General features: G+C 51.5%; 1 pseudogene; it reads right to left on the bottom strand.

Annotated features, from left to right (window-relative positions):
• Nucleotides 1-21,081: 21,081 nt before the first annotated feature.
• On the bottom strand, nt 21,082-23,818 carry CDC27P11 (cell division cycle 27 pseudogene 11; annotated as a pseudogene).
• Between the last annotated feature and the right edge of the window lie 1,697 nt (nt 23,819-25,515).

The following is a 25,515-nucleotide window of genomic DNA, read 5'->3' on the forward strand; positions in this document are numbered from 1 at the left end:
GGTCGGCACCTCCGGGGTCGACCAGCTGCCGCCCGCGAGCTCCGGACTTAGCCGGCGCCTGCACGTGTCCCGGGTCGACCAGCAGGCGGCCGCCGGACGCTGCGGCGCACCGACGCGAGGGCGTCGATTCCCGTTCGCGCGCCCGCGACCTCCACCGGCCTCGGCCCGCGGTGGAGCTGGGACCACGCGGAACTCCCTCTCTCACATTTTTTTCAGCCCCACCGCGAGTTTGCGTCCGCGGGACTTTTAAGAGGGAGTCACTGCTGCCGTCAGCCAGTAATGCTTCCTCCTTTTTTGCTTTTAGGTTTTGTCTTGCCTTTTTTTTTTTTTTTTTTTCTTCTTTCTTTCTTTCTTTCTTTCTTTCTTTCTTTCTTTCTTTCTTTCTTTGCCGCTCTCGCTCTCTCGCTCTCTCCCTCTCTCGTTTTCTTTCTCTTTCTCTTTCTCTCTCTCTCTCTCTCTCTCTCTCTGTCTCTCGCTCTCGCCCTCTCTCTCTCTCTCTTTCTCTCTGTCTCTCTCTGTCTCTCTCTCTCTCTCTCTCTCTCTCTCTCTCTCTCTCTCTCTCTCTCTCTCTCCCTCCCCCTCCCTCCCTCTCTCCCCTTCCTTGGTGCCTTCTCGGCTCTTGACACTTAGCCGCTGTCTCGCCGTGTCCCGGGTCGACCGGCGGGCCTTCTCCACCGAGCGGCGTGTAAGAGTGCCCGTCGGGACGAGCCGGACCCGCCGCGTCCCCGTCTCGGTCGGCACCTCCGGGGTCGACCAGCTGCCGCCCGCGAGCTCCGGACTTAGCTGGCGTCTGCACGTGTCCCGGGTCGACCAGCAGGCGGCCGCCGGACGCTGCGGCGCACCGACGCGAGGGCGTCGATTCCGGTTCACGCGCCGGCGACCTCCACCGGCCTCGGCCCGCGGTGGAGCTGGGACCACGCGGAACTCCCTCTTCTACATTTTTTTCAGCCCCACCGCGAGTTTGCGTCCGCGGGACTTTTAAGAGGGAGTCACTGCTGCCGTCAGCCAGTAATGCTTCCTCCTTTTTTGCTTTTAGGTTTTGTCTTGCCTTTTTTTTTTTTTTTTTTTTTTCTTTCTTTCTTTCTTTCTTTCTTTCTTTCTTTCTTTCTTTCTTTCTTTCTCGCTCTCGCTCTCTCGCTCTCTCCCTCGCTCGTTTTCTTTCTCTTTCTCTTTCTCTCTCTCTCTCTCTCTCTCTCTCTGTCTCTCGCTCTCGCCCTCTCTCTCTCTCTCTTTCTCTCTGTCTCTCTCTGTCTCTCTCTCTCTCTCTCTCTCTCTCTCTCTCTCTCTCTCTCTCTCTCTCTCTCCCTCCCCCTCCCTCCCTCTCTCCCCTTCCTTGGTGCCTTCTCGGCTCTTGACACTTAGCCGCTGTCTCGCCGTGTCCCGGGTCGACCGGCGGGCCTTCTCCACCGAGCGGCGTGTAAGAGTGCCCGTCGGGACGAGCCGGACCCGCCGCGTCCCCGTCTCGGTCGGCACCTCCGGGGTCGACCAGCTGCCGCCCGCGAGCTCCGGACTTAGCTGGCGTCTGCACGTGTCCCGGGTCGACCAGCAGGCGGCCGCCGGACGCTGCGGCGCACCGACGCGAGGGCGTCGATTCCGGTTCACGCGCCGGCGACCTCCACCGGCCTCGGCCCGCGGTGGAGCTGGGACCACGCGGAACTCCCTCTTCTACATTTTTTTCAGCCCCACTGCGAGTTTGCGTCCGCGGGACTTTTAAGAGGGAGTCACTGCTGCCGTCAGCCAGTAATGCTTCCTCCTTTTTTGCTTTTTGGTTTTGCCTTGCGTTTTCTTTCTTTCTTTCTTTCTTTCTTTCTTTCTTTCTTTTCTTTCTTTCTTTCTTTCTTTCTTTCTTTCTCTCTCTCTCTCTCTCTCTCTGTCTCTCTCCCCTCCCTCCCTCCTTGGTGCCTTCTCGGCTCGCTGCTGCTGCTGCCTCTGCCTCCACGGTTCAAGCAAACAGCAAGTTTTCTATTTCGAGTAAAGACGTAATTTCACCATTTTGGCCGGGCTGGTCTCGAACTCCCGACCTAGTGATCCGCCCGCCTCGGCCTCCCAAAGACTGCTGGGAGTACAGATGTGAGCCACCATGCCCGGCCGATTCCTTCCTTTTTTCAATCTTATTTTCTGAACGCTGCCGTGTATGAACATACATCTACACATACACACACACACACACACACACACACACACACACACACACACACACACACACACACCCCCCGTAGTGATAAAACTATGTAAATGATATTTCCATAATTAATACGTTTATATTATGTTACTTTTAATGGATGAATATGTATCGAAGCCCCATTTCATTTACATACACGTGTATGTATATCCTTCCTCCCTTCCTTCATTCATTATTTATTAATAATTTTCGTTTATTTATTTTCTTTTCTTTTGGGGCCGGCCCGCCTGGTCTTCTGTCTCTGCGCTCTGGTGACCTCAGCCTCCCAAATAGCTGGGACTACAGGGATCTCTTAAGCCCGGGAGGGAGAGGTTAACGTGGGCTGTGATCGCACACTTCCACTCCAGCTTACGTGGGCTGCGGTGGGGTGGGGTGCAGAGAAAACGATTGATTGCGATCTCAATTGCCTTTTAGCTTCATTCATACCCTGTTATTTGCTCGTTTATTCTCATGGGTTCTTCTGTGTCATTGTCACGTTCATCGTTTGCTTGCCTGCTTGCCTGTTTATTTCCTTCCTTCCTTCCTTCCTTCCTTCCTTCCTTCCTTCCCTCCTTCCTTCCTTCCTTCCCTCCCTTACTGGCAGGGTCTTCCTCTGTCTCTGCCGCCCAGGATCACCCCAACCTCAACGCTTTGGACCGACCAAACGGTCGTTCTGCCTCTGATCCCTCCCATCCCCATTACCTGAGACTACAGGCGCGCACCACCACACCGGCTGACTTTTATGTTGTTTCTCATGTTTTCCGTAGGTAGGTATGTGTGTGTGTGTGTGTGTGTGTGTGTGTGTGTGTGTGTGTGTGTGTGTATCTATGTATGTATGTATGTATGTGAGTGAGATGGGTTTCGGGGTTCTATCATGTTGCCCACGCTGGTCTCGAACTCCTGTCCTCAAGCAATCCGCCTGCCTGCCTCGGCCGCCCACACTGCTGCTATTACAGGCGTGAGACGCTGCGCCTGGCTCCTTCTACATTTGCCTGCCTGCCTGCCTGCCTGCCTGCCTGCCTGCCTGCCTGCCTGCCTATCAATCGTCTTCTTTTTAGTACGGATGTGCTCTCGCTTTATTGTCCATGCTCTGGGCACACGTGGTCTCTTTTCAAACTTCTATGATTATTATTATTGTAGGCGTCATCTCACGTGTCGAGGTGATCTCGAACTTTTAGGCTCCAGAGATCCTCCCGCATCGGCCTCCCGGAGTGCTGTGATGACACGCGTGGGCACGGTACGCTCTGGTCGTGTTTGTCGTGGGTCGGTTCTTTCCGTTTTTAATACGGGGACTGCGAACGAAGAAAATTTCCAGACGCATCTCACCGATCCGCCTTTTCGTTCTTTCTTTTTATTCTCTTTAGACGGAGTTTCACTCTTGTCGCCCAGGGTGGAGTACGATGGCGGCTCTCGGCTCACCGCACCCTCCGCCTCCCAGGTTCAAGTGATTCTCCTGCCTCAGCCTTCCCGAGTAGCTGGAATGACAGAGATGAGCCATCGTGCCCGGCTAATTTTTCTATTTTTACTACAGATGGGGTTTCTCCATCTTGGTCAGGCTGGTCTTCAACTTCCGACCGTTGGAGAATCTTAACTTTCTTGGTGGTGGTTGTTTTCCTTTTTCTTTTTTTTCTTTTCTTTTCTTTCCTTCTCCTCCCCCCCCACCCCCCCTTGTCGTCGTCCTCCTCCTCCTCCTCCTCCTCCTCCTCCTCCTCCTCCTCCTCCTCCTCTTTCATTTCTTTCAGCTGGGCTCTCCTACGTGTGTTGCTCTGTTGCTCACGCTGGTCTCAAACTCCTGGCCTTGACGCTTCTCCCGTCACATCCGCCGTCTGGTTGTTGAAATGAGCATCTCTCGTAAAATGGAAAAGATGAAAGAAATAAACACGAAGACGGAAAGCACGGTGTGAACGTTTCTCTTGCCGTCTCCCGGGGTGTACCTTGGACCCGGAAACACGGAGGGAGCTTGGCTGAGTGGGTTTTCGGTGCCGAAACCTCCCGAGGGCCTCCTTCCCTCTCCCCCTTGTCCCCGCTTCTCCCCCAGCCGAGGCTCCCACCGCCGCCCTGGCATTTTCCATAGGAGAGGTATGGGAGAGGACTGACACGCCTTCCAGATCTATATCCTGCCGGACGTCTCTGGCTCGGCGTGCCCCACCGGCTACCTGCCACCTTCCAGGGAGCTCTGAGGCGGATGCGACCCCCACCCCCCCGTCACGTCCCGCTACCCTCCCCCGGCTGGCCTTTGCCGGGCGACCCCAGGGGAACCGCGTTGATGCTGCCTTCGGATCCTCCGGCGAAGACTTCCACCGGATGCCCCGGGTGGGCCGGTTGGGATCAGACTGGACCACCCCGGACCGTGCTGTTCTTGGGGGTGGGTTGACGTACAGGGTGGACTGGCAGCCCCAGCATTGTAAAGGGTGCGTGGGTATGGAAATGTCACCTAGGATGCCCTCCTTCCCTTCGGTCTGCCTTCAGCTGCCTCAGGCGTGAAGACAACTTCCCATCGGAACCTCTTCTCTTCCCTTTCTCCAGCACACAGATGAGACGCACGAGAGGGAGAAACAGCTCAATAGATACCGCTGACCTTCATTTGTGGAATCCTCAGTCATCGACACACAAGACAGGTGACTAGGCAGGGACACAGATCAAACACTATTTCCGGGTCCTCGTGGTGGGATTGGTCTCTCTCTCTCTCTCTCTCTCTCTCTCTCTCGCACGCGCACGCGCGCACACACACACACAATTTCCATATCTAGTTCACAGAGCACACTCACTTCCCCTTTTCACAGTACGCAGGCTGAGTAAAACCCGCCCCACCCTCCACCCGTTGGCTGACGAAACCCCTTCTCTACAATTGATGAAAAAGATGATCTGGGCCGGGCACGCTAGCTCACGCCTGTCACTCCGGCACTTTGGGAGGCCGAGGCGGGTGGATCGCTTGGGGCCGGGAGTTCGAGACCAGGCTGGCCGACGTGGCGAAACCCCGTCTCTCTGAAAAATAGAACGATTAGCCGGGCCTGGTGGCGTGGGCTTGGAATCACGACCGCTCGGGAGACTGGGGCGGGCGACTTGTTCCAACCGGGGAGGCCGAGGTTGCGATGAGCTGAGATCGTGCCGTGGCGATGCGGCCTGGATGACGGAGCGAGACCCCGTCTCGAGAGAATCATGATGTTATTATAAGATGAGTTGTGCGCGGTGATGGCCGCCTGTAGTCGCGGCTACTCGGGAGGCTGAGACGAGGAGAAGATCACTTGAGGCCCCACAGGTCGAGGCTTCGGTCGGCCGTGACCCACTGTATCCTGGGCAGTCACCGGTCAAGGAGATATGCCCCTTCCCCGTTTGCTTTTCTTTTCTTCCCTTCTCTTTTCTTCTTTTTGCTTCTCTTTTCTTTCTTTCTTTCTTTCTTTCTTTCTTTCTTTTTCTTTTTCTCTCTTCCCCTCTTTCTTTCCTGCCTTCCTGCCTTTCTTCTTTTCTTCTTTCCTCCCTTCCTCCCTTCCTTCTTTCCTCCCGCCTCAGCCTCCCAAAGTGCTGGGATGACTGGCGGGAGGCACCATGCCTGCTTGGCCCAAAGAGACCCTCTTGGAAAGTGAGACGCAGAGAGCGCCTTCCAGTGATCTCATTGACTGATTTAGAGACGGCATCTCGCTCCGTCACCCCGGCAGTGGTGCCGTCGTAACTCACTCCCTGCAGCGTGGACGCTCCTGGACTCGAGCGATCCTTCCACCTCAGCCTCCAGAGTACAGAGCCTGGGACCGCGGGCACGCGCCACTGTGCCCACACCGTTTTTAATTGTTTTTTTTTCCCCCGAGACAGAGTTTCACTCTCGTGGCCTAGACTGCAGTGCGGTGGCGCGATCTTGGCTCACCGCAACCTCTGCCTCCCGGTTTCAAGCGATTCTCCTGCATCGGCCTCCTGAGTAGCCGGGATTGCGGGCATGCGCTGCCACGTCTGGCTGATTTCGTATTTTTAGTGGAGACGGGGCTTCTCCATGTCGATCGGGCTGGTTTCGAACTCCCGACCTCAGGTGATCCGCCCTCCCCGGCCTCCGGAAGTGCTGGGATGACAGGCGTGAGCCACCGCGCCCGGCCTTCATTTTTAAATGTTTTCCCACAGACGGGGTCTCATCATTTCTTTGCAACCCTCCTGCCCGGCGTCTCAAAGTGCTGGCGTGACGGGCGTGAGCCACTGCGCCTGGACTCCGGGGAATGACTCACGACCACCATCGCTCTACTGATCCTTTCTTTCTTTCTTTCTTTCTTTCTTTCTTTCTTTCTTTCTTGATGAATTATCTTATGATTTATTTGTGTACTTATTTTCAGACGGAGTCTCGCTCTGGGCGGGGCGAGGCGAGGCGAGGCACAGCGCATCGCTTTGGAAGCCGCGGCAACGCCTTTCAAAGCCCCATTCGTATGCACAGAGCCTTATTCCCTTCCTGGAGTTGGAGCTGATGCCTTCCGTAGCCTTGGGCTTCTCTCCATTCGGAAGCTTTGACAGGCGCAACCCCACCCAGAGGCTGGCTGCGGCTGAGGATTAGGGGGTGTGTTGGGGCTGAAAACTGGGTCCCCTATTTTTGATACCTCAGCCGACACATCCCCCGACCGCCATCGCTTGCTCGCCCTCTGAGATCCCCCGCCTCCACCGCCTTGCAGGCTCACCTCTTACTTTCATTTCTTCCTTTCTTGCGTTTGAGGAGGGGGTGCGGGAATGAGGGTGTGTGTGGGGAGGGGGTGCGGGGTGGGGACGGAGGGGAGCGTCCTAAGGGTCGATTTAGTGTCATGCCTCTTTCACCACCACCACCACCACCGAAGATGACAGCAAGGATCGGCTAAATACCGCGTGTTCTCATCTAGAAGTGGGAACTTACAGATGACAGTTCTTGCATGGGCAGAACGAGGGGGACCGGGGACGCGGAAGTCTGCTTGAGGGAGGAGGGGTGGAAGGAGAGACAGCTTCAGGAAGAAAACAAAACACGAATACTGTCGGACACAGCACTGACTACCCGGGTGATGAAATCATCTGCACACTGAACACCCCCGTCACAAGTTTACCTATGTCACAATCTTGCACATGTATGCTTGAACGACAAATAAAAGTTAGGGGGGAGAAGAGAGGAGAGAGAGAGAGAGAGAGAGACAGAGAGAGACAGAGAGAGAGAGAGAGGAGGGAGAGAGAAAACGAAACACCACCTCCTTGACCTGAGTCAGGGGGTTTCTGGCCTTTTGGGAGAACGTTCAGCGACAATGCAGTATTTGGGCCCGTTCTTTTTTTTTCTTCTTCTTTTCTTTCTTTTTTTTTGGACTGAGTCTCTCTCGCTCTGTCACCCAGGCTGCGGTGCGGTGGCGCTCTCTCGGCTCACTGAAACCTCTGCTTCCCGGGTTCCAGTGATTCTTCTTCGGTAGCTGGGATTACAGGCGCACACCATGACGGCCGGCTCATATTCCTATTTTCAGTAGAGACGGGGTTTCTCCACGTTGGCCACGCTGGTCTCGAACTCCTGACCTCAAATGATCCGCCTTCCTGGGCCTCCCAAAGTGCTGGAAACGACAGGCCTGAGCCGCCGGGATTTCAGCCTTTAAAAGCGCGGGCCCTGCCACCTTTCGCTGTGGCCCTTACGCTCAGAATGACGTGTCCTCTCTGCCGTAGGTTGACTCCTTGAGTCCCCTAGGCCATTGCACTGTAGCCTGGGCAGCAAGAGCCAAACTCCGTCCCCCCACCTCCCCGCGCACATAATAACTAACTAACAAACTAACTAACTAACTAAACTAACTAAATAAATAAAATCTCTACACGTCACCTCTAAGTGTGTGTTCCCGTGAGGAGTGATTTCTAAGAAATGGCACTGTACACTGAACGCAGTGGCTCACGTCTGTCATCCCGAGGTCAGGAGTTCGAGACCAGCCCGGCCAACGTGGTGAAACCCCCGTCTCTACTGAAAATACGAAATGGAGTCAGGCGCCGTGGGGCAGGCACCTGTAACCCCAGCTACTCGGGAGGCTGGGGTGGAAGAATTGCTTGAACCTGGCAGGCGGAGGCTGCAGTGACCCAAGATCGCACCACTGCACTACAGCCTGGGCGACAGAGTGAGACCCGGTCTCCAGATAAATACGTACATAAATAAATACACACATACATACATACATACATACATACATACATACATACATACATCCATGCATACAGATATACAAGAAAGAAAAAAAGAAAAGAAAAGAAAGAGAAAATGAAAGAAAAGGCACTGTATTGCTACTGGGCTAGGGCCTTCTCTCTGTCTGTTTCTCTCTGTTCGTCTCTGTCTTTCTCTCTGTGTCTCTTTCTCTGTCTGTCTGTCTCTTTCTTTCTCTCTGTCTCTGTCTCTGTCTTTGTCTCTCTCTCTCCCTCTCTGCCTGTCTCACTGTGTCTGTCTTCTGTCTTACTCTCTTTCTCTCCCCGTCTGTCTCTCTCTCTCTCTCTCCCTCCCTGTTTGTTTCTCTCTCTCCCTCCCTGTCTGTTTCTCTCTCTCTCTTTCTGTCTGTTTCTGTCTCTCTCTGTCTGTCTATGTCTTTCTCTGTCTGTCTCTTTCTCTGTCTGTCTGCCTCTCTCTTTCTTTTTCTGTGTCTCTCTGTCGGTCTCTCTCTCTCTGTCTGTCTGTCTGTCTCTCTCTCTCTCTCTCTGTGCCTATCTTCTGTCTTACTCTCTTTCTCTGCCTGTCTGTCTGTCTCTCCCTCCCTTTCTGTTTCTCTCTCTCTCTCTCTCTCTCTCCCCCTCTCCCTGTCTGTTTCTCTCCGTCTCTCTCTCTTTCTGTCTGTTTCTCACTGTCTCTCTCTGTCCATCTCTCTCTCTCTCTGTCTGTCTCTTTCGTTCTCTCTGTCTGTCTGTCTCTCTCTCTCTCTCTCTCTCTCTCTCTCTTTCTGTCTCTCACTCTCTGTGTGTATCTTCTGTCTTACTCTCCTTCTCTGCCTGTCCGTCTGTCTGTCTGTCTGTCTGTCTCTCTCTCCCTTTCTGTCTCTCTCTCTCTCTGTCCCTCTCTCTTTCTGTCTGTTCCTCTCTCTCTCTCTGTCTCTGTCTTTCTCTGTCTGTCTGCCTCTCTCTTTCTTTCTCTTTCTGTGTCTCTCTGTCTCTCTCTCTGTGCCTATCTTCTGTCTTACTCTCTTTCTCTGCCTGCCTGCCTGTCTGTCTGTCTGTCTCTCTCTGTCTCTCTCCCTGCCTTTCTGTTTCTCTCTCTCTCTCCCTCTCTCTCTCCCTCTCTCGCTCTCTCTGTCTTTCTCTCTTTCTCTCTGTTTCTCTGTCTCTCTCTGTCCGTCTCTGTCTTTTTCTGTCTGTCTCTCTCTTTCTTTCTGTCTGTCTCTGTCTCTGTCTCTCTCTCTCTCTCTGCTTGTCTCTCTCACTGTGTCTGTCCTCTGTCTTACTCTCCTTCTCTGCCTGTCCGTCTGTCTGTCTGTCTCTCTCTCTCTCCCTCCCTTTCTGTTTCTCTCTCGCTCTCTCTCTCTCTCTCTCTCTCTCTCTGCCTGTTTCTCTTTCTCTCTCTGTCTGTCTCTGTCTTTCTCTGTCTGTCTCTTTCTCTGTCTGTCTGTCTCCTTCTCTCTGTCTCCGTCTCTGTCTCTCTCTCTCTGTCTCTCTCTCTCTGCCTGTCTCACTGTGTCTGTCTTCTGTCTTATTCTCTTTCTCTGTCTGTCTGTCTCTCTCTCTCCCTTCCTGTCTCTTTCTCTCTCTCTCTCTCTCTCTTTCTGTCTGTTTCTCTCTGCCTGTCTCCGTCTTTCTCTGTCTGCCTCTCTCTTTCTTTTTCTGCGTCTCTCTGTCTCTCTCTCTCTGTGCCTATCTTCTGTCTTACTCTGTTTCTCTGCCTGCCTGTCTGTCTGTCTGTCTCTCTCTCTCTCTGTCTCTCTCTCTTTCTGTCTGTTTCTCTCTGTCTCTCTGTCCATCTCTGTCTTTCTCTGTCCGTCTCTCTCTTTCTCCCTGTCTCTGTCTCTGCCTCTGCCTCTCTCTCTCTCTGTCTCTCTCTTTCTATCTGTTTCTCTCTGTCTCTCTGTCCATCTCTGTCTTTCTCTGTCTGTCTCTCTCTTTCTCCCTGTCTCTGTCTCTGCCTCTCTCTCTCTCTCTCTGTCTGTCTCTCTCACTGTGTGTGTGTCTCTGTCTCTGCCTCTCTCTCTCTCTCTCTCTCTGTCTGTCTCTCTCACTGTGTGTGTCTGTCTTCTGTCTTACTCTCCTTCTCTGCCTGTCCGTCTGTCTGTCTGTCTCTCCCTCTCTCTCCCTCCCTTTCTGTTTCTCTCTCTCTCTCTCTCTCTTTCTGTCTGTTTCTCTCTTTCTCTCTCTGTCTGTCTCTTTCTCTGTCTGTCTGTCTCTCTCTTTCTTTTTCTCTGTCTCTCTGTCTCTCTCTGTGCCTGTCTCTCTGTCTGTGCCTATCTTCTGTCTTACTCTCTTTCTCTGGCTGACTGCCTGTCTCTCTCTCTCTCTCTCTCTCTCTCTCTCTCTGCCTGTCTCCGTCCCTCCCTCCCTGTCTGTCTGTTTCTCTCTCTGTCCATTTCTGTCTGTCTCTTTCTCTTTCTCTCTCTTTCTTTCTCTCTGTCTCTCTCTGTCTCTCTCTGTCTCTCTCTCTCTCTCTCTCTCTCTCTCTCTCTCTCTCTCTCTCTGCCTTTCTCTCTCACTGTGTCGGTCTTCTGTCTTACTCTCTTTCTCTGCCTGCCTCTCTGTCTGTCTGTCTGTCTCTCTCCCTCCATGTCTCTCTCTCTCTCTCTCTCACTCACTGTCTCTCCGTCTCTCTCTCTTTCTGTCTGTTTCTCTCTGTCTCTGTCTTTCTGTGTGTCTGTCTGTCTCTCTCTCTATTTGTCTTTCTCCCTCCCTGTCTGTTTCTCTCTCTCTCTCTCTCTCTCTCTCTCTCCCTGTCTGTCTGTTTCTCTCTATCTCTCGCTGTCCATCTCTGTCTTTCTATGTCTGTCTCTTTCTCTGTCAGTCTGTCAGACACCCCCGTGCCGGGTAGGGCCCTGCCCCTTCCACGAAAGTGAGAAGCGCGTGCTTCGGTGCTTAGAGAGGCCGAGAGGAATCTAGACAGGCGGGCCTTGCTGGGCTTCCCCACTCGGTGTATGATTTCGGGAGGTCGAGGCCGGGTCCCCGCTTGGATGCGAGGGGCATTTTCAGACTTTTCTCTCGGTCACGTGTGGCGTCCGTACTTCTCCTATTTCCCCGATAAGCTCCTCGACTTCAACATAAACGGCGTCCTAAGGGTCGATTTAGTGTCATGCCTCTTTCACCGCCACCACCGAAGATGAAAGCAAAGATCGGCTAAATACCGCGTGTTCTCATCTAGAAGTGGGAACTTACAGATGACAGTTCTTGCATGGGCAGAACGAGGGGGACCGGGGACGCGGAAGCCTGCTTGAGGGAGGAGGGGTGGAAGGAGAGACAGCTTCAGGAAGAAAACAAAACACGAATACTGTCGGACACAGCACTGACTACCCGGGTGATGAAATCATCTGCACACTGAACACCCCCGTCACAAGTTTACCTATGTCACAGTCTTGCTCATGTATGCTTGAACGACAAATAAAAGTTCGGGGGGGAGAAGAGAGGAGAGAGAGAGAGAGACGGGGAGAGAGGGGGGAGAGGGGGGGGGAGAGAGAGAGAGAGAGAGAGAGAGAGAGAGAGAGAGAGAGAGAGAGAAAGAGAAGTAAAACCAACCACCACCTCCTTGACCTGAGTCAGGGGGTTTCTGGCCTTTTGGGAGAACGTTCAGCGACAATGCAGTATTTGGGCCCGTTCTTTTTTTCTTCTTCTTCTTTTCTTTCTTTTTTTTTGGACTGAGTCTCTCTCGCTCTGTCACCCAGGCTGCGGTGCGGTGGCGCTCTCTCGGCTCACTGAAACCTCTGCTTCCCGGGTTCCAGTGATTCTTCTTCGGTAGCTGGGATTACAGGTGCGCACCATGACGGCCGGCTCATCGTTCTATTTTTAGTAGAGACGGGGTTTCTCCACGTTGGCCACGCTGGTCTCGAACTCCTGACCACAAATGATCCACCTTCCTGGGCCTCCCAAAGTGCTGGAAACGACAGGCCTGAGCCGCCGGGATTTCAGCCTTTAAAAGCGCGGGCCCTGCCACCTTTCGCTGCGGCCCTTACGCTCAGAATGACGTGTCCTCTCTGCCATAGGTTGACTCCTTGAGTCCCCTAGGCCATTGCACTGTAGCCTGGGCAGCAAGAGCCAAACTCCGTCCCCCCACCTCCCCGCGCACATAATAACTAACTAACTAACTAACTAACTAAAATCTCTACACGTCACCCATAAGTGTGTGTTCCCGTGAGGAGTGATTTCTAAGAAATGGTACTGTACACTGAACGCAGTGGCTCACGTCTGTCATCCCGAGGTCAGGAGTTCGAGACCAGCCCGGCCAACGTGGTGAAACCCCCGTCTCTACTGAAAATACGAAATGGAGTCAGGCGCCGTGGGGCAGGCACCTGTAACCCCAGCTACTCGGGAGGCTGGGGTGGAAGAATTGCTTGAACCTGGCAGGCGGAGGCTGCAGTGACCCAAGATCGCACCACTGCACTACAGCCTGGGCGACAGAGTGAGACCCGGTCTCCAGATAAATACGTACATAAATAAATACACACATACATACATACATACATACATACATACATACATACATACAGATATACAAGAAAGAAAAAAAGAAAAGAAAAGAAAGAGAAAATGAAAGAAAAGGCACTGTATTGCTACTGGGCTAGGGCCTTCTCTCTGTCTGTTTCTCTCTGTTCGTCTCTGTCTTTCTCTCTGTGTCTCTTTCTCTGTCTGTCTGTCTGTCTGTCTGTCTCTTTCTTTCTTTCTGTCTCTGTCTTTGTCCCTCTCTCTCCCTCTCTGCCTGTCTCACTGTGTCTGTCTTCTATCTTACTCTCTTTCTCTCCCCGTCTGTCTCTCTCTCACTCCCTCCCTGTCTGTTTCTCTCTCTCTCTCTTTCTGTCTGTTTCTGTCTCTCTCTGTCTGCCTCTCTCTTTCTCTATCTGTCTCTTTCTCTGTCTGTCTGCCCCTCTCTTTCTTTTTCTGTGTCTCTCTGTCTGTCTCTCTCTCTCTCTGTGCCTATCTTCTGTCTTACTCTCTTTCTCTGCCTGTCTGTCTGTCTCTCTCTGTCTCTCCCTCCCTTTCTGCTTCTCTCTCTCTCTCTCTCTCTCCCCCCTCCCTGTCTGTTTCTCTCTGTCTCCCTCTCTTTCTGTCTGTTTCTCACTGTCTCTCTCTGTCTGTCTGTTTCATTCTCTCTGTCTCTGTCTCTGTCTCTCTCTCTCTCTGTCTCTCCCTCTCTGTGTGTATCTTTTGTCTTACTCTCCTTCTCTGCCTGTCCGTCTGTCTGTCTGTCTCTCTCTCTCCCTGTCCCTCTCTCTTTCTGTCTGTTTCTCTCTCTCTCTCTCTCTCTCTCTCTCTGTCTCTGTCTTTCTCTGTCTGTCCCTTTCTCTGTCTGTCTGCCTCTCTCTTTCTCTTTCTGTGTCTCTCTGTCTCTCTCTCTGTGCCTATCTTCTGTCTTACTCTCTTTCTCTGCCTGTCTATCTGTCTGTCTCTCTCTGTCTCTCTCCCTGCCTTTCTGTTTCTCTCTCTCTCCCTCTCTCGCTCTCTCTGTCTTTCTCTCTTTCTCTCTGTTTCTCTGTCTCTCTCTGTCCGTCTCTGTCTTTTTCTGTCTGTCTGTCTCTCTCTTTCTTTCTGTCGTCTGTCTCTGTCTCTGTCTCTGTCTCTCTCTCTCTCTCTCTCCTTGTCTCTCTCACTGTGTCTGTCTTCTGTCTTACTCTCCTTCTCTGCCTGTCCATCTGTCTGTCTGTCTCTCTCTCTCTCTCCCTACCTTTCTGTTTCTCTCTCGCTAGCTCTCTCTCTCTCTGCCTGTTTCTCTCTTTCTCTCTCTGTCTTTCTCTGTCTGTCTCTTTCTCTGTCTGTCTGTCTCTTTCTCTCTGTCTCTGTCTCTGTCTCTCTCTCTCTCTCTCTCTCTCTGCCTCTCTCACTGTGTCTGTCTTCTGTCTTATTCTCTTTCTCTCTCTGTCTCTCTCTCTCTCTCCTTTCCTGTCTGTTTTTCTCTCTCTCTCTCTCTTTCTGCCTGTTTCTCTCTGTCTGTCTCTGTCTTTCTCTGTCTGTCTGCCTCTCTCTTTCTTTTTCTGCGTCTCTCTGTCTCTCTCTCTCTCTCTCTGTTCCTATCTTCTGTCTTACTCTGTTTCCTTGCCTGCCTGCCTGTCTGTGTGTCTGTCTCTCTCTCTCTCTCTCTCTCTCTCTCTCCCTCCCTTTCTCTTTCTCTGTCTCTCTCTCTCTTTCTGGGTGTTTCTCTCTGTCTCTCTGTCCATCTCTGTCTTTCTATGTCTGTCTCTCTCTTTCTCTCTGTCTCTGTCTCTGCCTCTCTCTCTCTCTCTCTCTCTCTCTCTCTCTCTCTCTGTCTGTCTCTCTCACTGTGTGTGTCTGTCTTCTGTCTTACTCTCCTTCTCTGCCTGTCCGTCTGTCTGTCTGTCTCTCCCTCTCTCTCCCTCCCTTTCTGTTTCTCTCTCTCTCTCTTTCTGTCTGTTTCTCTCTTTCTCTCTCTGTCTGTCTCTTTCTCTGTCTGTCTGTCTCTCTCTTTCTTTTTCTCTGTCTCTCTGTCTCTCTCTGTGTCTGTCTCTCTTTCTGTGCCTATCTTCTGTCTTACTCTCTTTCTCTGGCTGTCTGCCTGTCTCTCTCTCTCTGCCTGTCTCCGTCCCTCCCTCCCTGTCTGTCTGTTTCTCTCTCTGTCTCTGTCTCTCTGTCCATCTCTGTCTGTCTCTTTCTCTTTCTCTCTCTCTGTCTCTGTCTCTCTCTCTCTCTGCCTGTCTCTCTCACTGTGTCTGTCTTCTGTCTTACTCTCTTTCTCTGCCTGCCTCTCTGTCTGTCTGTCTCTCTCCCTCCATGTCTCTCTCTCTCTCTCACTCACTCTCTCTCCGTCTCTCTCTCTTTCTGTCTGTTTCTCTCTCTGTCTGTCTCTCTCCCTCCATGTCTCTCTCTCTCTCTCTCACTCACTCTCTCTCCGTCTCTCTCTCTCTTTCTGTCTGTTTCTCTCTCTGTCTGTCTCTCTCCCTCCATGTCTCTCTCTCTCCCTCTCACTCACTCTCTCTCCGTCTCTCTCTCTCTTTCTGTCTGTTTCTCTGTCTGTCTGTCTGTCTGTCTGTCTCTCTCTCTCTCTCTCTCTCTCTCTCTCTCTCTGTTTGTCTTTCTCCCTCCCTGTCTGTCTGTCTGTCTCTCTCTCTCTGTCTCTGTCTCTGTCTCTCTCTCTTTCTCTTTCTGTCTGTTTCTCTCTATCTCTCGCTGTCCATCTCTGTCTTTCTATGTCTGTCTCTTTCTCTGTCAGTCTGTCAGACACCCCCGTGCCGGGTAGGGCCCTGCCCCTTCCACGAGAGTGAGAAGCGCGTGCTTCGGTGCTTAGAGAGGCCGAGAGGAATCTAGACAGGCGGGCCTTGCTGGGCTTCCCCACTCGGTGTACGATTTCGGGAGGTCGAGGCCGGGTCCCCGCTTGGATGCGAGGGGCATTTTCAGACTTTTCTCTCGGTCACGTGTGGCGTCCGTACTTCTCCTATTTCCCCGATAAGCTCCTCGACTTCAACATAAACTGTTAAGGCCGGACGCAACACGGCGAAACCCCGTCTCTACTAAAAATACAAAGCTGAGTCGGGAGCGGTGGGGCAGGCCCCTGTAATGCCAGCTCCTCGGGAGGCTGAGGCGGGAGAATCGCTTGAACCAGGGAAGCGGAGGCTGCAGGGAGCCGAGATCGCGCCACTGCACTACGGCCCAGGCTGTAGAGTGAGTGAGACTCGGTCTCTAAATAAATACGGAAATTAATTAATTCATTAATTCTTTTCCCTGCTGACGGACATTTGCAGGCAGGCATCGGTTGTCTTCGGGCATCACCTAGCGGCCACTGTTATTGAAAGTCGACGTGACACGGAGGGAGGTCTCGCCGACTTCACCGAGCCTGGGGCAACGGGTTTCTCTCTCTCCCTTCTGGAGGCCCCTCCCTCTCTCCCTCGTTGCCTAGGGAACCTCGCCTAGGGAACCTCCGCCCTGGCGGGGGCCCTATTGTTCTTTGATCGGCGCTTTACTTTTCTTTGTGTTTTGGCGCCTAGACTCTTCTACTTGGGCTTTGGGAAGGGTCAGTTTAATTTTCAAGTTGCCCCCCGGCTCCCCCCACTACCCACGTCCCTTCACCTTAATTTAGTGAGTCGGTTAGGTGGGTTTCCCCCAAACCGCCCCCCCCCCCCCGCCTCCCAACACCCTGCTTGGAAACCTTCCAGAGCCACCCCGGTGTGCCTCCGTCTTCTCTCCCCTTCCCCCACCCCTTGCCGGCGATCTCATTCTTGCCAGGCTGACATTTGCATCGGTGGGCGTCAGGCCTCACTCGGGGGCCACCGTTTTTGAAGATGGGGGCGGCACGGTCCCACTTCCCCGGAGGCAGCTTGGGCCGATGGCATAGCCCCTTGACCCGCGTGGGCAAGCGGGCGGGTCTGCAGTTGTGAGGCTTTTCCCCCCGCTGCTTCCCGCCTCAGGCCTCCCTCCCTAGGAAAGCTTCACCCTGGCTGGGTCTCGGTCACCTTTTATCACGATGTTTTAGTTTCTCCGCCCTCCGGCCAGCAGAGTTTCACAATGCGAAGGGCGCCACGGCTCTAGTCTGGGCCTTCTCAGTACTTGCCCAAAATAGAAACGCTTTCTGAAAACTAATAACTTTGCTCACTTAAGATTTCCAGGGACGGCGCCTTGGCCCGTGTTTGTTGGCTTGTTTTGTTTCGTTCTGTTTTGTTTTGTTCGTGTTTTTCCTTTCTCGTATGTCTTTCTTTTCAGGTGAAGTAGAAATCCCCAGTTTTCAGGAAGACGTCTATTTTCCCCAAGACACGTTAGCTGCCGTTTTTTCCTGTTGTGAACTAGCGCTTTTGTGACTCTCTCAACGTGCAGTGAGAGCCGGTTGATGTTTACTATCCTTCATCATGACATCTTATTTTCTAGAAATCCGTAGGCGAATGCTGCTGCTGCTCTTGTTGCTGTTGTTGTTGTTGTTGTTGTCGTCGTTGCTGTTGTCGTTGTCGTTGTTGTTGTCGTTGTCGTTGTTTTCAAAGTATACCCCGGCCACCGTTTATGGGATCAAAAGCATTATAAAATATGTGTGATTATTTCTTGAGCACGCCCTTCCTCCCCCTCTCTCTGTCTCTCTGTCTGTCTCTGTCTCTCTCTTTCTCTGTCTGTCTTCTCTCTCTCTCTCTCTCTGTGTCTCTCTCTCTCTGCCTGTCTGTTTCTCTCTCTCTGCCTCTCTCTCTCTCTCTCTCTCTCTGCCTGTCTCTCTCACTGTGTCTGTCTTCTGTCTTACTCCCTTTCTCTGTCTGTCTGTCGGTCTCTCTCTCTCTCTCTCCCTGTCTGTATGTTTCTCTCTGTCTCTGTCTCTCTCTCTCTTTCTGTTTCTCTCTCTCCGTCTCTGTCTTTCTCTGACTGTCTCTCTCTTTCCTTCTCTCTGTCTCTCTCTGCCTGTCTCTCTCACTCTGTCTTCTGTCTTACTCTCTCTCTCTGCCTGCCTGTCTCTCTCACTCTCTCTCTCTGTGTGTCTCTCTCTCTCTTTCTGTTTCTCTCTGTCTCTCTGTCCGTCTCTGTCTTTCTCTGTCTGTCTCTTTGTCTGTCTGTCTTTGTCTTTCCTTCTCTCTGTCTCTGTCTCTCTCACTGTGTCTGTCTTCTGTCTTAGTCTCTCTCTCTCTCTCTCCCTGTCTGTCTGTCTCTCTCTCTCTCTCCCCCTGTCTGTTTCTCTCTCTCTCTCTCTCTCTCTCTCTCTCTCTGTCTTTGTCTTTCTTTCTGTCTCTGTCTCTCTCTCTCTCTCTGTGTGTCTGTCTTCTGTCTTACTGTCTTTCTCTGCCTGTCTGTCTGTCTGTCTCTCTCTGTCTGTCTCTCTCTCTCTCTCCCCCCGTCGGCTGTTTCTCTGTCTCTGTCTGTGTCTCTCTTTCTGTCTGTTTCTCTCTGTCTGTCTTTCTCTCTCTGTCTCTTTCTCTCTGTCTCTCTGTCTGTCTCTGTCTCTCTCTCTGTCTCTCTCTCTCTGTGGGGGTGTGTGTGTGTGTGTGTGTGTATGTGTGTGTGTGTGTGTGTGTGTGTGTCTGCCTTCTGTCTTACTCTCTTTCTCTGCCTGTCTGTCTGCCTGTCTGTTTGTCTCTCTCTCTCTGCCTGTCTCTCTCCCTTCCTGTCTGTTTCTCTCTCTTTCTGTTTCTCTCTGTCTCTGTCCATCTCTGTCTTTCTCCGTCTGTCTCTTTATCTGTCTCTCTCCGTCTGTCTCTTTATCTGTCTCTCTCTCTCTTTCTGTCTTTCTCTCTCTGTGTATCGTTGTCTCTCTCTGTCTGTCTCTGTCTCTGTCTCTCTGTCTCTCTCTCTCTCTCTCTCTCTCTCTGTCTGTCTGTCCGTCTGTCTGTCTCGGTCTCTGGCTCTCGCTATCTCCCGCCCTCTCTTTTTTTGCAAAAGAAGCTCAAGTACATCTAATCTAATCCCTTACCAAGGCCTGAATTCTTCACTTCTGACATCCCAGATTTGATCTCCCTACAGAATGCTGTACAGAACTGGCGAGTTGATTTCTGGACTTGGATACCTCATAGAAACTACATATGAATAAAGATCCAATCCTAAAATCTGGGGTGGCTTCTCCCTCGACTGTCTCGAAAAATCGTACCTCTGTTCCCCTAGGATGCCGGAAGAGTTTTCTCAATGTGCATCTGCCCGTGTCCTAAGTGATCTGTGACCGAGCCCTGTCCGTCCTGTCTCAAATATGTACGTGCAAACACTTCTCTCCATTTCCACAACTACCCACGGCCCCTTGTGGAACCACTGGCTCTTTGAAAAAAATCCCAGAAGTGGTTTTGGCTTTTTGGCTAGGAGGCCTAAGCCTGCTGAGAACTTTCCTGCCCAGGATCCTGTGTGACCAAAAGTGCCTCTGCTGGGAGCTGGGATCCTCGGGACCATGCTTGCTAGCGCTGGATGAGTCTCTGGAAGGACGCACGGGACTCCGCAAAGCTGACCTGTCCCACCGAGGTCAAATGGATACCTCTGCATTGGCCCGAGGCCTCCGAAGTACATCACCGTCACCAACCGTCACCGTCAGCATCCTTGTGAGCCTGCCCAAGGCCCCGCCTCCGGGGAGACTCTTGGGAGCCCGGCCTTCGTCGGCTAAAGTCCAAAGGGATGGTGACTTCCACCCACAAGGTCCCCACTGAACGGCGAAGATGTGGAGCGTAGGTCAGAGAGGGGACCAGGAGGGGAGACGTCCCGACAGGCGACGAGTTCCCAAGGCTCTGGCCACCCCACCCACGCCCCACGCCCCACGTCCCGGGCACCCGCGGGACACCGCCGCTTTATCCCCTCCTCTGTCCACAGCCGGCCCCACCCCACCACGCAACCCACGCACACACGCTGGAGGTTCCAAAACCACACGGTGTGACTAGAGCCTGACGGAGCGAGAGCCCATTTCACGAGGTGGGAGGGGTGGGGGTGGGGTGGGTTGGGGGTTGTGGGGTCTGTGGCGAGCCCGATTCTCCCTCTTGGGTGGCTACAGGCTAGAAATGAATATCGCTTCTTGGGCGGAGGGGCTTCCTTAGGCCATCACCGCTTGCGGGACTACCTCTCAAACCCTCCCTTGAGGCCACAAAATAGATTCCACCCCACCCATCGACGTTTCCCCCGGGTGCTGGATGTATCCTGTCAAGAGACCTGAGCCTGACACCGTCGAATTAAACACCTTGACTGGCTTTGTGTGTTTGTTTGTTTCTGAGATGGAGTCTTGCTCTGTCCCCCAGGCTGGAGTGCAGTGGCGTGATCTCAGCTCACTGGAACCTCTGCCTCCTGGGTTCAAGTGATTCTCCTGTCTCAGCGCCACCATGGCCGGCTCTTTTTTTTTTTTTTTTTTTTTGGTAGACACGGGGTTTCACCCTCTTTCATTGGTTTTCACTGGAGATTCTAGATTCGAGCCACACCTCATTCCGTGCCACAGAGAGACTTCTTTTTTTTTTTTTTTTTAAGCGCAACGCAACATGTCTGCCTTATTTGAGTGGCTTCCTATATCATTATAATTGTGTTATAGATGAAGAAACGGTATTAAACACTGTGCTAATGATAGTGAAAGTGAAGACAAAAGAAAGGCTATCTATTTTGTGGTTAGAATAAAGTTGCTCAGTATTTAGAGCTACCTAAATACGTCAGCATTTACACTCTTCCTAGTAAAAGCTGGCCAATCTGAATAATCCTCCTTTAAACAAACACAATTTTTGATAGGGTTAAGATTTTTTTAAGAATGCGACTCCTGCAAAATAGCTGAACAGACGATACACATTTAAAAAAATAACAACACAAGGATCAACCAGACTTGGGAAAAAATCGAAAACCACACAAGTCTTATGAAGAACTGAGTTCTTAAAATAGGACGGAGAACGTAGCTATCGGAAGAGAAGGCAGTATTGGCAAGTTGATTGTTACGTTGGTCAGCAGTAGCTGGCACTATCTTTTTGGCCATCTTTCGGGCAATGTAACTACTACAGCAAAATGAGATATGATCCATTAAACAACATATTCGCAAATCAAAAAGTGTTTCAGTAATATAATGCTTCAGATTTAGAAGCAAATCAAATGATAGAACTCCACTGCTGTAATAAGTCACCCCAAAGATCACCGTATCTGACAAAATAACTACCACAGGGTTATGACTTCAGAATCATACTTTCTCTTGATATTTACTTATGTATGTATTTATTTTTTTTAATTTATTTCTCTTGAGACGGCGTCTCGCTCTGTCGCCCAGGCTGGAGTGCGATGGTGTGATCTCGGCTCACTGCAACCGCCACCTCCCTGGGTTCAAGCGATTCTCCTGCCTCAGCCTCCCGAGTAGCTGGGACTACAGGTGCCCGCCACCACGCCCAGCTAATCTTTATACTTTTAATAGAGACGGGGTTTCACCGTGTCGGCCCGGATGGTCTCGATCTCTTGACCTCGTGACCCGCCCGCCTCGGCCTCCCAAAGTGCTGGGATGACAGGCGTGAGCCACTGAGCCCGGCCTTCTCTTGACGTTTAAACTATGAAGTCAGTCCAGAGAAACGCAATAAATGTCAACGGTGAGGATGGTGTTGAGGCAGAAGTAGGACCACACTTTTTCCTATCTTATTCAGTTGATAACAATATGACCTAGGTAGTAATTTCCTATGTGCCTACTTATACACGAGTACAAAAGAGTAAAACAGAGAGACTGCTAAATTAAAGGGTACGTGAAGTTCTTCATAGTAACTCCGTAAACTGGAACACTGTCAAAAAGCAGCAGCTAGTGAATTGTTTCCATGTATTTTTCTATTATCCAATAAGTGAACTATGCTATTCCTTTCCAGTCTCCCAAGCACTTCTTGTCCCCATCACCACTTCGGTGCTCGAAGAAAAAGTAACAAATCAAGGAACACAACTAAAGAAACACACACACAAACCAAAGACAACTACAGCGTCTGCAAAAGTTTGCTAGAAGACTGAAACTGTTGAGTATAAGGATCTGGTATTCTACGATCATGAGTTCACTTCAGAGTTTGTTCAAGACATACGTTTCGTAAGGAAACATCTTAGTTAGAAGTTATTCAGCAGTAGGTACCATCCCTAAGTATTTTTCACCAAATTCGTGACAATAAAGAGCTATCTAACCAGAAAAATTAGCGAGTACCGGCACCATCCATAGGGCTTTGTCTTTACGCTTCATTAGCACTTACCATGCCTTACAATGTCTAGGATTGACCCTGATAGCATTTCGAAAACAAGCTAATGCTTTGTCCAGTTCTTCAGTGAAGACAAGCTCACGCCCTAATGCGCTATAGGCATAAGCATCATTTGGATCCACTTCGAGAGTTCTCTGGAAGAATTGAATCGCAATATCGTGTTCCCGTTGCAGACCGAAACAGTTCCCTGCAGCACACCAGGCCTCTGGCTGGCGAATTTTTATCCATGTCTGTGAAGTCTTTGGACAGAACTGAAAGAGCAACCTCTTTCGGAGGATGCCAAAGTGTTGTAGAGTAGATCTCCATGCCTTCGACTCTGTAATTCTCAATCCTCCTAACCTCTGAGAATTGTCTTTCAGCTTGCGTGGACTCTGAAAGTTTACAATAGGCCCTTCCGATTTGGCACAGTACCCAACCGGTATTGCAGTGGTGAGAAGCTAGATGGCTCAAGATGCTGATAGCTTCTTTGCCGTGGTAAGAACACAAAGCTAAATAACCTTTCCCCCTTTCACGAAGAAGGCTCATCAAGCCTTCCGCTGCTGCTTTTTGTAGATTAAAAGCCTGAATCTGAGGCGCGATTGTGGCTATTTTCCCTTCTGAAATGACGGAAGAGTCCAATTTTGTCACTTCCAGGCTATCACTTATGTTCGGTGGAGTTATTGCTCCTTTATTAGTTTTACTTTTGGTTCTTCTGTTTGGGATTTTAGGTGGAAACTTCATTTTTAATTTTCTCCTATTCTCCTCGGTTGTGGAGCTGTCACTAGTCAAGAGTCGTGAATTTCTTCGAGGCGGTGCATTTGGGGGAGATGCCATAGTGGGGCTCAATACCTGAGGTGTTGCCCTTGTCGGCGGACCAGAACTTTGTGTTTTTGCAAGGACTGGAGTTACCTTTCGGCTCTTTCCCCTCTGCGAGAAGACAGACGGTGTTCCGGTTTGGCCGATTCTGGCAACAGGCTTTTTTGAAGGGGCTCCGGTGGATGGCACGTCAATGACAGACGGTGTCTCATACCAGTGCAGTTTTGTCAATAGGGTCCGTCTCCGGGACTTGGGGTTTCTAATGGCAAAATGCCAACACTTGGGGTTAATGGACTAACAGCTGCTGGTCCTCCTAATAAACTTCGACCAGTTTTTGGTTTATGTTGAACCTGTTTAGATCATATGGAAGTTCCTGTTCCCAGTGGGACAGTATCAGGTGAAAGGACAGCTGAATCGATAGAAGACACTGGGGAGTCTGTATTCAAGGAGTACTTTGAATTGGAAGATTCTAAATTCCATCCGTTTCATTCGACGGTGTCCTGGGGTGTTTCCGTAAGAACGGTCTCGGGCTGTCTGTGACATAAACTAGGACGAGGTCCAAGTGTTGTGGCGCAACACTTGGACAGGCAGTTGCTAAAGCTCTCTAGAGAGGTGAATCAAAATGTTTGGTCAGGATCTGGCTTTTCCCCCCTATTTCACATCATGATTCAAAGGGACACCAGAAGGAAAGGATTTCAACGAAGGCTCTTTTGGTCACATTCTGATCCTTTGGTAAGCCGATCTGTCTTGCAATATACATGTCCCGACGATGGAAGGGGAAAGCGAGCTGAATCACCAAACTCAGGAACGATAATATCATCGTGGCTTTTCTGCTTATGAAACACTCCACCCGATAAGATTTGATCCCCTTCTGCAAGCTTGCTGAGATCAACACAACATTTCGCAAGCAGGCATTTGCATTGCGGGGTAGTACAACTGTGTCCTTTCAAGAGTCTATATGTTTTATAGGCCTTTCCTGAGCGGTAAGAACAGGTCGCCAGTAAGAACAAGGCTTCTTCTGAGTGTACTTCTGCATAAAGGCGTTCTGCGGGGGAAACCGCATCTCGGTAGGCATAGTGGTTTAGTGCTTGCCATATAGCAGCCTGGACGGGTCCCTGCAGCACCGCCATCCTCGAGGCTCAGGCCCACTTTCTGCAGTGCCACAGGCACCCCCCCCCCCCCCATAGCGGCTCCGGCCCGGCCAGCCTCGGCTCATTTAAAGGCACCAGCCGCCGTTACCGGGGGATGGGGGAGTCCGAGACAGAATGACTTCTTTATCCTGCTGACTCTGGAAAGCCCGGCGCCTTGTGATCCATTGCAAACCGAGAGTCACCTCGTGTTTAGAACACGGATCCACTCCCAAGTTCAGTGGGGGGATGTGAGGGGTGTGGCAGGTAGGACGAAGGACTCTCTTCCTTCTGATTCGGTCTGCACAGTGGGGCCTAGGGCTGGAGCTCTCTCCGTGCGGACCGCTGACTCCCTCTACCTTGGGTTCCCTCGGCCCCACCCTGGAACGCCGGGCCTTGGCAGATTCTGGCCCTTCCTGGCCCTTCAGTCGCTGTCAGAAACCCCATCTCATGCTCGGATGCCCCGAGTGACTGTGGCTCGCACCTCTCCGGAAACATTGGAAATCTCTCCTCTACGCGCGGCCACCTGAAACCACAGGAGCTCGGGACACACGTGCTTTCGGGAGAGAATGCTGAGAGTCTCTTGCCGACTCTCTCTTGACTTGAGTTCTTCGTGGGTGCGTGGTTAAGACGTAGTGAGACCAGATGTATTAACTCAGGCCGGGTGCTGGTGGCTCACGCCTGTAACCCCAACACTTTGGGAGGCCGAGGCCGTAGGATCCCTCGAGGAATCGCCTAACCCTGGGGAGGTTGAGGTTGCAGTGAGTGAGCCATAGTTGTGTCACTGTGCTCCAGTCTGGGCGAAAGACAGAATGAGGCCCTGCCACAGGCAGGCAGGCAGGCAGGCAGGCAGAAAGACAACAGCTGTATTATGTTCTTCTCAGGGTAGGAAGCAAAAATAACAGAATACAGCACTTAATTAATTTTTTTTTTTCCCTTCGGACGGAGTTTCACTCTTGGTGCCCACGCTGGAGTGCAGTGGCACCATCTCGGCTCACCGCAACCTCCACCTCCCGCGTTCAAGCGATTCTCCTGCCTCAGCCTCCTGAGTAGCTGGGATTACAGGGAGGAGCCACCACACCCAGCTGATTTTGTATTGTTAGTAGAGACGGCATTTCTCCATGTGGGTCAGGCTGGTCTCGAACTGGCGACCCCAGTGGATCTGCCCGCCCCGGCCTCCCAAAGTGCTGGGGTGACAGGCGTGAGCCATCGTGACTGGCCGGCTACGTTTATTTATTTATTTTTTTAATTATTTTACTTTTTTTTAGTTTTCCATTTTAATCTATTTATTTATTTACATTTATTTATTTATTTATTTATTTACTTATTTATTTATTTTCGAGACAGACTCTCGCTCTGCTGCCCAGGCTGGAGTGCAGCGGCGTGATCTCGGCTCACTGCAAGCTCCGCCTCCCGGGTTCACGCCATTCTCCTGCCTCAGCCTCCCAAGTAGCTGGGACTACAGGCGCCCGCCACCGTGGCCGGCTAACTTTTTGTATTTTGAGTAGAGATGGGGTTTCACTGTGGTAGCCAGGATGGTCTCGATCTCCTGACCCCGTGATCCGTCCACCTCGGCCTCCCAAAGTGCTGGGATGACAGGCGTGAGCCACCGCCCCCGGCCTATTTATCTATTTATTAACTTTGAGTCCAGGTTATGAAACCAGTTAGTTTTTGTAATTTTTTTTTTTTTTTTTTTTTTTGAGACGAGGTTTCACCGTGTTGCCAAGGCTTGGACCGAGGGATC

The sequence above is a fragment of the Homo sapiens genome, chromosome 21 (genome assembly GCF_000001405.40).
Source record: "Homo sapiens chromosome 21, GRCh38.p14 Primary Assembly".
In the NCBI taxonomy this organism is placed as follows: domain Eukaryota; kingdom Metazoa; phylum Chordata; class Mammalia; order Primates; family Hominidae; genus Homo; species Homo sapiens.